This window comes from Homo sapiens, chromosome 16 (genome assembly GCF_000001405.40).
Source record: "Homo sapiens chromosome 16, GRCh38.p14 Primary Assembly".
Lineage (NCBI taxonomy): Eukaryota > Metazoa > Chordata > Mammalia > Primates > Hominidae > Homo > Homo sapiens.
This window is the reverse complement of record NC_000016.10, coordinates 90077736-90090217: the sequence shown is the minus strand read 5'-3', so window position 1 is coordinate 90090217 and position 12482 is coordinate 90077736. Positions and strand designations below refer to the sequence as shown.

General features: G+C 42.9%; 5 annotated features.

Moving 5' to 3' along the window:
- Positions 7004–7658: an enhancer, noted in NCBI's record as "H3K4me1 hESC enhancer chr16:90148968-90149622 (GRCh37/hg19 assembly coordinates)". NCBI's record gives its function as "activates a minimal SCP1, AML or CMV promoter by ChIP-STARR-seq in naive H9 embryonic stem cells {active_cell/tissue: H9 hESC(naive)}" and the evidence as "EXISTENCE:reporter gene assay evidence [ECO:0000049][PMID:30033119]".
- Positions 7659–8314: an enhancer, noted in NCBI's record as "H3K4me1 hESC enhancer chr16:90148312-90148967 (GRCh37/hg19 assembly coordinates)". NCBI's record gives its function as "activates a minimal SCP1, AML or CMV promoter by ChIP-STARR-seq in naive H9 embryonic stem cells {active_cell/tissue: H9 hESC(naive)}" and the evidence as "EXISTENCE:reporter gene assay evidence [ECO:0000049][PMID:30033119]".
- Positions 7731–7860: an enhancer, noted in NCBI's record as "active region_11436". NCBI's record gives its function as "activates an Ori minimal core promoter by ATAC-STARR-seq in GM12878 lymphoblastoid cells {active_cell/tissue: GM12878}" and the evidence as "EXISTENCE:reporter gene assay evidence [ECO:0000049][PMID:35858748]".
- Positions 12096–12235: an enhancer, noted in NCBI's record as "active region_11435". NCBI's record gives its function as "activates an Ori minimal core promoter by ATAC-STARR-seq in GM12878 lymphoblastoid cells {active_cell/tissue: GM12878}" and the evidence as "EXISTENCE:reporter gene assay evidence [ECO:0000049][PMID:35858748]".
- Positions 12356–12445: an enhancer, noted in NCBI's record as "active region_11434". NCBI's record gives its function as "activates an Ori minimal core promoter by ATAC-STARR-seq in GM12878 lymphoblastoid cells {active_cell/tissue: GM12878}" and the evidence as "EXISTENCE:reporter gene assay evidence [ECO:0000049][PMID:35858748]".

The following is a 12482-nucleotide window of genomic DNA, read 5'->3' as shown; positions in this document are numbered from 1 at the left end:
TCTCAAGATTGGATATAAAGTAAACAAAATGATTATAGTTAATATGCAAGCTGACACAGTTGATATGCAAAAGAAATTTTGTTTGAAACACAATGAGATTTTTATTTTTATTTATTATTATTATTTTGAGACAGAGTCTTGTTCTACTGCCCAGGCTGGAGTGCAGTGCACCATCTTGCCTTACTGAAACCTCCGCCTCCCAGGTTCAAGTGATTCTCCTGCCTCAGCCTCCCAAGTAGCTGGGATTACAGGCATGAATCACCACACCCAGCTAATTTTTGTATCTTTAGTAGAAATGGGGTTTCACTCTGTTGGCCAGGCTGGTCTCAAACCCCTGACAACAAGTGATCTGCCCACCTTGGCCTCCCAAATTGCTGGGATTACAGGCATGAGCTACTGCTCCCAGCCACAATGAGGCTTTTAAATAATTCTGATTTCCTGCTGTTGAGCAGGGAGCTGAGCAAATTCAACAGATCATGAGCCTAAAGTAGAAGACTGAGGACAAACTCTAGAACACATGTGATTAAATTAATTACAATGGAAACCAAATCAAATTTAATAAGGCCATACCTCTTAGTTTCAAGATGTTTCCCCTCATTTTGAAATGTGGTGTTATTCAGTGGAAAAGAAAAATAGTGTTTATCTCCAGAGTAAAGAACAGGGTTCCCTGCAGGGACTGACTGACTGAGAGCTATGGCTCAGGATTAAAAATTCTCTTTTTTCCACTTACAAACTAAAAATTAATTTCTAAGCCCCTATTGACTAAATGGACCCCTCTTCTTGGATAAAAACGTTCCAAAGTTACCCTGAAAAGCTAGTTCAAGCCATGGGTCACACCTGCCTCATTAGACTCTCCTCCCTTTGGTTTTAATTGTAATTTTTAATTTTTATGGGTACATAGTTGGTGTATATATTTATGGGGGTACATGACATACTTTGATACAGGCATGTAATGAGTAATACATAATAAAAAACAGGGTATCCGTCCTCTCAAGCATTTATAGCTTGTGTTATAAACAATCCAATTATACTATTTTAGTTTTTATAAAATGTATAATTAAAATTTTTTTTACCATAATCACCCTGTTGTGCTATCAAATACTGTCTTGTTCATTCTTTCTAACAATTTTTTGTACCCATTTCACATCCCCACTAACCCCCTGTTCCCCCACTGCCCTTCCCAGACTCTGGTAACCACCCTTATACTCTCTATGACATCAATTATTTCAAATTTTAGCACCCACAAATAAGTGAGGACATGTGACATTTTTCTTTCTGTGCCTGACTTACTTAACATAAAGACTTTCAGTTCCATTTCTGTTACTGCAAATGACAGACTCTCATTCTTTCTTATAGCTGAATAGTACTCCATTGTATATATGTACCACATTTTCTCTATCCAGTCATCTGCTGATGGACATTTAGGTTTCTTCCAAATCTTGGCTATTAGCAACATTTGTTTTTGACTGACTTCTGGATAAAAGCCACCTTAACTGAGGTGAAATGATATCTCATTTTGGGTTTGATTTGCATTTCTATAATGATCAGTAATGTGGAGCAGCTTTTCACTTCAATATATTGTAGTGTATTAGTCTGTTTCTGCACTGCTATAAAAAAACTGAGACTGGGTTATTTATCTATTTATGTATTCACATGAAGTCTTGCTCTGTCGCCCAGGCTGGAGTGCACTGGTATGATCTCGGTTCACTGCAACCTCCACCTCCTGGGTTCAAGCAATTCTCTGCCTCAGCCTCTTGAGTAGCCGGGATTACAGGCACCTAACACCATGCCCAGCTAAGTTTTGTATTTTTAGTAGAGATGGGGTTTCACCATCTTGGCCAGGCTGGTCTTGAACTCCTGACCTCGTGATCCACCCGCCGCAGCCTCCCAAAGTGCTGGGATTACAGGCATGCGCCACTGCGCCTGGCGAGACTGGGCAATTTATAAAGGAGATAGGTTTAACTGAGTCACAGTTCCACATGGCTGGGGAGGCCTCAGGAAACTTAAAATCATGGCAGACGGGAAGCAGGCACCTCTTCCATGATGGCAGGCGAGAGAGCATGTATGTGAAGCAAAGGTGGAAGAGCCCCTTATAAAACCATCGGATCTCATGAGAACTCACTCATTATCAGAAGAACAGCCTGGGGGAAACCAACCCCATGATCCAATCACCTTCTACCAGGTCTCTCCTTCAACACCTGGGGATTACAATTCAATATGAGATTTGGGTGGGGACACAAAGCCTAACCATATCATGTAGCTATTAATTGCTTTTCAGATGGGTAATTTACAAATATTTTCTTCCATTCTGTGGGTTTTCTCTTCACTTTGTTTATTGTTTCCTTCACTTTAAAAAAGCTTTCTGACTTGCTGTAATTCCATTTGTCCATGTTTGCTTTGGTTGTCTGTGCTTATGGGGCATTATTTAAGAAATTTTTGCCCAAACCAATGCCCTAAAGAGTTTCCCCAGTGTTTTCTTGTAAAATTTTGATAGTTTGAGGTGTTAGGTTTAAGTCCTTAATTCATTTTAATTTGATTTTTGTATTTTGCAAGAAATAGGGTTCTAGTTTCATTCTTCTGCCTATGGCTTGCCAGTTTTCCCAGCCCTATTTATTACAGAAACTGTCTTGTTTTTTGTTGTATGTTATTGACAATTTTGTTGAAAATTAGTTTAGCTGTATGAGTTTGTTTCTAAGTTCTCTGTTTCATTCCATTTGTCTTTATGTCTTTTTATTCTAGTGTCATGCTGTTTTAATTACTATAGCTTGATAGTACAATTTAAAACCATGTAATGGGATTCCTCCAGTTTTAGTTTATATACTCAGAATAGCTTTGACTATTATGGTGTTTTGTGGTTCCATATATATTTCAGATTTTTTTTCTATTTCTGTGAGGAATGTCATTGTTATTTTGATAGAGATGGCATGAAATGTATAGATTGCTTTGGATCGTATGGACATTTTTTAAAATACTGATTCTTCCAATCTGTGAACATAGAAATAACTTTCCATTTTTTTGTCTTCTCTTTCATTTCTTTTATCAGTGTTTTACATTTTTAATTGTTGAGAACTTTTATTTCTTTGGTAAATTCCCACACATTTTGTTTTATTTGTGGCTATTGCAAATAGGATTACTTTTTTGAATTCTTTTTCAGTTTGTTGACTGTTGGCATATAGAAATCTTACTGATTTGTATATGTTAATTTTGTATTCTGCAAATTTACTCAAGTTATTACTTCTAACAGTTTTTTGACGGAAATATTACGCCATTCTCACATTGCTGTAAAAACAGTCGGTGACTGGTTAATTTATAAAGGAAATAGGTTTAATTGGCTCATGGTTCTACAGGCTGTACAGAAAGCATAGCACTGGCTTCTGCTTCTGGTGAAGCCTCTGACAACTGACAATCAAGGTGAAAAATAAATCCGGTGCTTGCACATCACATGGTAAGTGTGAGGGTGGGGGGAAGTGCTACACACTTGTAGATAACCAGCTCTCATGAAAACTTACTATTGTGAGAATGGCACCAAAGAAAATGATGCCAAACTGTTCATGGAAATCCTGCCCTCATGATTCAATCACCTCCCCACTAGGCCCACTTCCAACATTGAGGATTACATTTTAATATAAGAATTTGGTGCGAACACACACCTAAACTATATCATTTTGCCCCTGGCCATTCCAAATCTCATATCCTTCTCATATTTCAAAATATAATCATGACATCCCAATAATCCCCAAAGTCTTCACTCATTTCAGCCTTAACTCAAAAGTCAAAAGTCTCATCTAAGACAAAGCTAGTTTATTCTTCCTATAAGCCTGTAAAATAAAAAACAAATTAAGTGCTTCCAAGATACAAATGGGGCATAGGCATTGGGTAAATACTCCTATTCTAAAAGGAAGAAATCAGCTAAAAAAAAAAGAGGCCACAGGACCCATACAAGTCTGAAGCCCAGAAGGGGAGTTATTGAATTTTAAGGCTCCAAAATAATTATTTTTGACTCTATGTCCCATTTCCAGGGCACACTAATGCCTTGGGACGTTTAGACCTTGTGGCTTTGCATGGTTCAGCCCCCACAGCTGCTCTCATGGGCTGGTATTGCGTGCCTCTGGCTGGTTTTGTCTGCTTCTGGCTTTTCCATGTGCAAAGTGCAAGCTGTAGCTAGATCTACCATTCTGGGATCTGGAGGACAGTGATCCTCTCCTCACAGATCTACTAGGCCATGCCCCAGTGGGGAACCCACATGGGGATTGTAACCCTACATTTCTTTGCTGCATTGTTTTAGTAGAGGTTCTCCATGAGGGCTCCACCCTTGCAGCATGCTTCTGCCTGCACACCCTAGCTTTTTTATACATTATTTGAAGTAAAGGTGGAGGCTCCCAAGTCTCAGCTCTTGCATTTTGTACACTCACAGGCCTAACACCATATGAAAGCTACCAAGGCTTAAGGCTTGCACCCTCTGAAGCAGTGACTGGAGTTTTAACTGGGCCAATTTGTGCTACATCTGGAGCTGGAGCAGTGGCCAGGATGCAGGGAGCCATGTTCTAAGGCTACCCAAGGCAGCAGTTCCTGGGCCTGATCCCAGAAACTATTCTCTTCTTTTAGGCCTCAGGGTCTGTGATGGGGGGCTGCCTTTTAGATTTCTAAAATGCCTTCAATTCCTCTTCCCCATTGTCTTGGCTATCAACACTTGCTTTTTTTTTTTTTTAAGTTATACAAATATCTCTAACAAGTGATTGCTCCACAGCCTGCTCGAGTTCCTCTCTTGTAAAAGCTTTTTATTTTTCTGCCACATGAGTAGGCTGCAAAGTTTTTAAGCTTTTACGCTATACTTCCCTTGCAAGTAAAAATAAATTACAACTTACTTTTTTTTGCTCCAACATGTGAGCATAGGTTGTTAGAAGCAGCCAGGCCACATCTTCAATGCTTTAGTGCTTAGACATTTTTTCAACAGAAACCCTAAATCATCACTTTCAAATTCAAACTTTTATATATCCCTAGGGCATGACAGAAATTCAGCCAACCACTTTGCTAAGACAACATGAATGACCTTTGCTTCGATCCTAATAAGTTTCTAATTTTCATCTGAGACCTCCTCAGCTCAGCCTTCACCGTCCAAATCACTATCAGCATTTTCGTCAAAGCCATTCAAAGTTAAGAAAATCTCAACTTTCCCTCATTTTTCTGTCTTCTTCTGAATCCTACAAACTCTTCCAACCTCTGCCTGTTTACCCAATTACAAAGCTGATTCCACATTTTCAGGTATTCTTATAACAATTTTCCACTCCTTTGTGCCAATTTTCTGTATTAAGCTTTTTTCCCATCACTATAAATACCTGAGACTGGGTACCCAGGAGTTTCAGGCCAGTCTGGGCAACACAGGGAAACCCTCTCTCTACAAATAACTTAAAAATTAGCTAGGTGTGGTGGTGCATGTCTGTAGTCCTAGTTACTCAGGAGACGGAGGAGGGAGGATTGCTTGAGCCCAGGTGGTTGAGGCTGCAATAAGCTGCGTTCGCACCATTGCACTCCAATCTGGGAAACAGAGCAAAACCATGCCCAGAGAAAAAAAGAAAGGAAAAAGAAATTCCATTTTTAAAAATCAGCAGGCTGGACATGGTAGCTAACACCTGTAATCCCAGTGCTTTGGGAGACAAAGAGAGGAGTATCACTTGAGGCTAGGAGTTTGAGGCCAGCCTGGGCAGGAGAGAAAGACCCTACCTGAAAAAAAAAAAAAAAAATTAGCCAGCTGTGGTAGTGCACACCTCTAGTCCCAGCTACTTGGGAGGTTTGAGGTGGGAGGATCACTTGAGCCCACGAAATAGAGGTTGTAGTGAGTCATGATTGTGCCACTGCACTCCAGCCTGGGAGACAGAGTGAGGCCCTGCCTCAAAAAATAAAACAATTGCTCATAGGAGTATGGGTTTATTTCTGGACTCAGAATTCAGTTCCATTGATCTATTCCATTGATGATGCCAAAATCATGTTGTTTTTATTAATGTTGCTTTGTAGTAAGATTTGAAATTTGGAAATGTGAGCCTCTGAGTTGGTTTCTTTGACACTATGTTGGTTATTCTGCATCCCTTGAAATTTCATATAAATGATAGGATCAGCTTGTGAATTTCCGCCAAAAGTTTTCTTGAATTTATTTCAGCAATGTTTTGGAATTTTCCATGTATGAGTTTTTTTTTTCCCCCAAAACAGAGTCTCGCTCTGTCACCCAGAGTGCAGTGCAGTGGTGCAACCTCGGCTCACTGCAACCTCCGCCTCCCGGCCTGTAGTCCCAGCACTTTGGGAGGCCGAGGCGGGCAGATCATGAGGTCAGGAGATCAAGACCATCCCGGCTCACACAGTGAAACCCCGTCTCTACTAAAAATGCCAAAAAATTAGCCGGGCATGGTGGCTGAGACTACAGTCTCAGCTACTCAGGAGGCTGAGGCAGGAGAATGGCATGAACCCGGGAGGTGGAGCTTGCAGTGAGCAGAGATCACACCACTCCACCACACCACTGCACTCCAGCCTGGGCGACACAGCGAGACTCCGTCTCAAAACAAACAAACAAACAAACAAACAAACAAACAAAGCACTATGTCTAGGTATGACTGTTTTCAGAAGAGGTGTCATACTGGTATAACATATCATGGCATATCGTAATACTGATATGACACCCACAACACTGCTGTGACGTTCACAATGGAGATGATACCGGCAAGACTGCTATGGCACCCTTAAAACTGATGTGAAGCCCGCAAGATTCATGACACTCCTAAGACTCATATGACACCCTTAATAATGATATGACACCCATAAGGCTGATATGATGCCCATAAGACTGATGGGACACCTGCAACAGTGATATGACGCCCACGATACAGACAAGACACCCGCAATATTGATGACACTCACAGTACTACTATGACACCCCTAAGACTCATATGACACCTGTAATACTGATATGACAGCCGCAATACTGACATGACAGCAGGGCGCTTGGTACACAGCTTCCACTGACCTGGATTTGGATTGGTTTGGCCTCTATAATGAAGTTTGATGTCTCTGCTTTACTGACAAGGTATTAATGTGGTTGTTTATAATTTACAATAATTTCCTTCTTCTAGGATTATTGCAATAGCAAAGTTTAACTTATCCCTTCTCTTAGATTCCCCAGCAGTTACAGCAACTTCACACAAAATACTCCTATGTATTTTATCAAAGCAAAGACAGCCTAAAATTTTTTTTAATTTAGAAAAAAAAAGCAGCAGGGCATGGTGGCTCAGGCCTGCCTGCAATCCCAGCACTTTGGGAAGCCAAGGCAGGTGGATCACTTGAGGTCAGGAGTTTGACACCAGCCTGGCCAACATAGTGAAACCCCATCTCTACTAAAAATACAAAAACTTAGCTGGGCGTGGTGGCGGGTCCCTGTAATTCCAGCTATTCGGAAGGCTGAGGCAGTAGACTCGCTTGAACCTGGGAGGCGGAGGTTGCAGTGAGCCGAGATGGCGCCACTGCACTCCAGCCTGGGCAACAAGAGCGAAACTCGGTCTCAAAACACACACACACACGCACGCGCACGCGCACACGCACACACACACACACACACACCAAACCAAAAAAAACGAGCACTGATCCGGGGGCGCCTGTTTTCTCGGCCTCAGGCTGTGGCGCCTTCCCGTCCCCAGCCTCCTGACCGCGTCTCCTCTCCCGGTACCAGGGTCTCTCCCCAGAAACAAACTCACATCCATAACCTGCATCTTGGCCTGCGCTGGGGGTGACCAGCCCAAGCCCTCATGAGGGGACGCTTTTATTAATATAAAGTGAGGTCCTGCTACAAACGGCGGACAGGGAAACACGGCCGCGCTCCCGCCGCTACACTCAACGGCAACAGGAAGCTTTTTCCTCATCTTCGCCTGGGCGGCCCCAGGTGTCCCGAAGCTGCAGCAGCGTCTCCCTGTCTCACTGTGGACGCGGCCCCAAGTGTCCCCATGTCTCCCGAGGCCGCAGCCTCTCCCAGCCGCGTCCTGAGGGAGGAAGCTCTGTCCTCACGGTAAACGCCCCGCAACGCCGCCTTGCGGATCAGATACGGCTCAAGCGCGCAGCGCTCGGGTTTAGCAGGGGCTGGGCGCCCCCTCGCGGCAGCCCTCGGGAATCTCTGAAATTCAGCCTCCAGATTACTCCGGGCCATGATTTTGGAAATTTCAACTGAAATCGAGCCCACCATCACATGCCTTGATCAGAACGCATGGAGATTTTTAACAAGTAAAATAGATGGCCAGTAGACAAAGGTCAATGGATTTTCTTTTTCTTTTTCTCTTTCTTATTTTAGAGACGGAGGCTTGCTCTGTAGCCCAGGCTGGAGAGGCAGTGGCATGACCTTGGCTCACTGCAGCCTCCGCCTCCAAGGATCAAGCAATCCTCCCGCCTCAGCCACCCAAGCGCTGGGATTACAGGCGAGAACCTCCGCGCCCAGCCCTAGCTGATTTTTTTATATCACCAATAATGTATAGGAATAATTTGAATTTAATGAATTAAATTTTGGGTGTGCTATTGTAAATGATATTCTTTAAAATTTCAATTCATTGAGTATAAATCTAACAAAAGACAAACAAATATGCATTCAGGAAACTGAATCATGGTTGAGAGGAATAAAAAATATATAAATAAATGCAGATAGTCCTCGTTTAGAAACAATAACTTACTATTGTTATCTTTACCACAAAGCTAAAGTAATGAAGAGTGATATTGGTGACGGAATAAGCAAAAAGATAAATGGAACACAATAGAGAACCCAAAAGACCCGAATAAATACAGTTAACTGATTTTGTCATGGGGCAAACGCAATTCAATGGGGAAAGAAAAGTCTGTTCCACAAGTGGTGACAGCACAACAGAAACCATAGTGGGGGAATGAACAAAGACACAAACTTCACGGGTCAGCCAAAAAATCACTCAAGATAATCTATAGACTTAAATTTCCAAATATAAAATAGTAAAAGTTATAGAAGAAAACCTACATGGATTTGGGTTGGTGATAAACTTTTAGATACAATAGCAAAAGCTAGTCCATAAAAGAAAAAGAAATTGATAATGTGGACTTTATTAAAATTTGAAATGTCTACTCTGTGAAACATCCTGTTACAAGAATCAAAAACAAAGCCACAGACTGAGAGAAAATATTTATAAAACAAACCTGAAAAGGACTTATATGCAAAATATACAAAGAAATTCTAATGCTCAACAAGAACACAACACAATTAAAAGGTAGACACCTCACTAAAAATGATATAAGACAGCAAACAAGCATCCAAAAGAACGCTCATGGCACTTGTCAAGAGGGAAAAGCAAATTAATGCAACAATGGTATACCACTGAGCATCTACTAAACTGACTAAAATCTTTTTTTAATGCAATAAAAATTACAACAGGAGGCGGGGCACAGTGGCTCATGCCTGTAATCCCATCAGTTTGGGAAGCAAAGTCAGGAGGATCAACTGAAACCAGAAGTTCAAGACCAGCCTGGGCAACATAGTGAGACCCTCATCTTTAACAAAAATTAAAAAAAAAATTAGCCAGCCCTGGTGGCACATGCCTGTAATCCCAGCTGAGGTGGGAGAATTGCTTGAGCCTGGGAGGTAGAGGCAGCAGTGAGCAATGTTCATGCCACTGCACTCAGATTGGGCTACAGAGCAAGACTCTCTCTCAAAAAAACAAATAAATAAATAAAATTAAAATAAGTTGCAACAGGAACTCTCATTCAATGATAGTGGAATGCATAATGATACAGCAACTTCAGAAAACAATACAGCAGTTTATATTAAAGTTAAACATGCTCTCACCATAGAAGCACTCCTAGGTTTTGGGGGTTTTTTTTGTTTTTTTTGGTTGTTGTTTATCTGGTTTTGTTTTTGTTTTGTTTTTTGTTTTTTTGAGATGGAGTCTCGCTCTGTCACCCAGGCTGAAGTACAGTGGTGTGACCTTGGCTCACTGCAACCTCCACCTCCTGGGTTCACGCCATTCTCCTGCCTCAGCCTCCCAAGTAGCTGAGACTACAGGCACACACCGCCACGCCTGGCTAATTTTTTGTATTTTAGTAGAGAAGGTGTTTCACCGTGTTGCCCAGGCTGGTCTCAAACTCCTGAGCTCAGGCAATCCACCCACCTCGGCTTCCAAAAGTGCTAGGATTACAGGTGTGAGCCACTGCGCATGGCCAACTACTAGGTATTTAGATAACAACTTTATAAACTTAAGTCCAAACAAAAGCCAATATGCTGTTATGTACAGTTGATCTCTTCATAATGGCCAAATACTTTAAGGGGTCAGGATGACCTTCAATAGGTGAATAAATAACCAAGTTGGGTACATCCATGCAATAGAATGCTATTCAGCAAGAAACAGGGGTGATCTATGAAGCCATGCAAAGACATTGATGAATCTGACATGCACATCGCTAAGTGAAAGAAGCCACTCTGAAAAGATCACATAAGGTGTGATCCCATTTCTGTGACATTACAGAAAAGTGTGACCATAACTCGTTTTAGGCTCAAACTCCTGGGCTCAAGCAATCCTCCCACCTCAGCCTCCCAAGTAGCTAGGACTCCAGGCAAGTGCCACCACACCCAGCTAATTTTTTAATTTTTTGTACAGTTGGGATCTCCCTATGTTGCCCAGGCTAGTCTTGAACTCCTGGGCTCAAGTTAACCTCCCACCGCAGCCTCCCATGTAACTTGGACTTAAGGCATGGACCACTACACCCAGCTAATTAAAAAAACATAATTTGGTAGAGATAGGCCTCAAAATGTTGCTCAGGCTAATGTGAAACTCCTGGCCTCAAACAATCCTCCCTCCTTGGCCTCCCAAGTGTTGCGATTACAGGCATAAGCCACTGCACCCCACCTGATTTTTTAGTCAAATTATTGTTTGTTGTTGAGTTATAAGACTTTTTTTATAAGTTTCTGGATATTAACTCCGTACCAGTTATATGATTTGCAAATATTTTCTCCCTTTCTATATAGGTTGCCTTGTCACTCTGTTGATTCCTTTGCTACACAGAAGTTTTTAAGTTTGATGTACTCCCATCTATCTAATTTTGCTTTGGTTGCTTATACTTTTGGTGTCATATCCAGGAAGTAATTGTTCATTACAATGTTATAAAGATTTTATTTTTTTTCTTCTTGGAGTTCTGTACTTTTAGGTCTTACATTTCAGTCTTTAATTTATTTTGAATTAATGATAATAGATGATGCATTACACGGTAGCATTCCATAGAATGGAATGATCTGGTTGGGATCTGTGTCCAAAACTTAGTTGAAATGTAATCCCCAGTGTTGGAGGTCGGGCCTGGTGGGAGGTGATTGGATCACAGGACAAACTTCTTATGAATGGTTTAGCACCATCCGTCTTTGGAACTGTACAGTGAGATCTGGTTGTTTAAAAGTGTATAGCACCTCCCCATCTTTCTCTCTTCCTCCTGCTCTGGCCGTGTCAAGTGCTGACTCCCCTTTCGCCTTCAGCTGTGAGTGTAAGTTTCCCAAGAAGCCAAGCAGGTGCCAGCATCATGCTTCCTGTACAGCCCGCAGAACAATAAGCTAATTAAATCAATTTTAATTGGAGGAGACTCTGGCAGCAGCTGACGTCTGAGCCAGGAGACAGCAGTGGCAGCTTCCCTGTGGGACTTGGGTGCCTCCGTTCTGCAAGTCCTCCTGTCCACTGGCCCCTCCCAGGGCCCATGCCTAGCCACTCTGCAAGAGTAGGTGCACAGTGCAGCCTCTGCAGCCCAGCCTGAGTGCATTGCTCCACCTGAGTACCTTCCCCGTGACCCAGGAGCACATTGGATTCCCCAGCGCAGCGAGAGCCCAACCCCAAGCCATAGGACTTCCTGGTGTCCCCAGGGCTGTGGCACGTAGCTAGGGATACCGAGGGGGAGATCTGTGGCCAGCACTCGAACGGAGCAGGAGCCCCCACTCTCAGAGCACTGAGAGAGGTGAGACATGTGGGATCCTGGGCAACGAGGGAGCGAGGCATGCCTCCCTCCAGAGGGCCAGTCCAGAAAGGGGGCGACCTATGCAGCCTCTGCCCGAGGGAGCCCCGCAGCTCAGAACACCTAACAAAAGAAACGCAGGCAGGCGCCAGTGATCACAGGAGGCTCCCCTCAAGGTCCAGGAGCTGATGGGGGGCTATCGCTCTCCCGTCTCAATGCAAAGCACACCTGCGAACGCGAAGTACAGAAGAACCTTGCTGCTGGAGATAGCAGCCGTTCCTCTTAAGCACCATCTATTGGATCACAGCCCTAACTACAACACCAAAATTGGCCAGCTAATACAACATCTGTGAAACCAAGCACAATTCACCCACCCGTAAGGGCCCTGTACAGAACCCTGGCCCTCTGAAGCATCCAGAAACGAAGCCAGCTGACAATACCCAACTTACACCACAGTTAAAGGAACACCAACCCTCCCAGATGAGAGTCAGTGCAAGAACTCTGGCAAT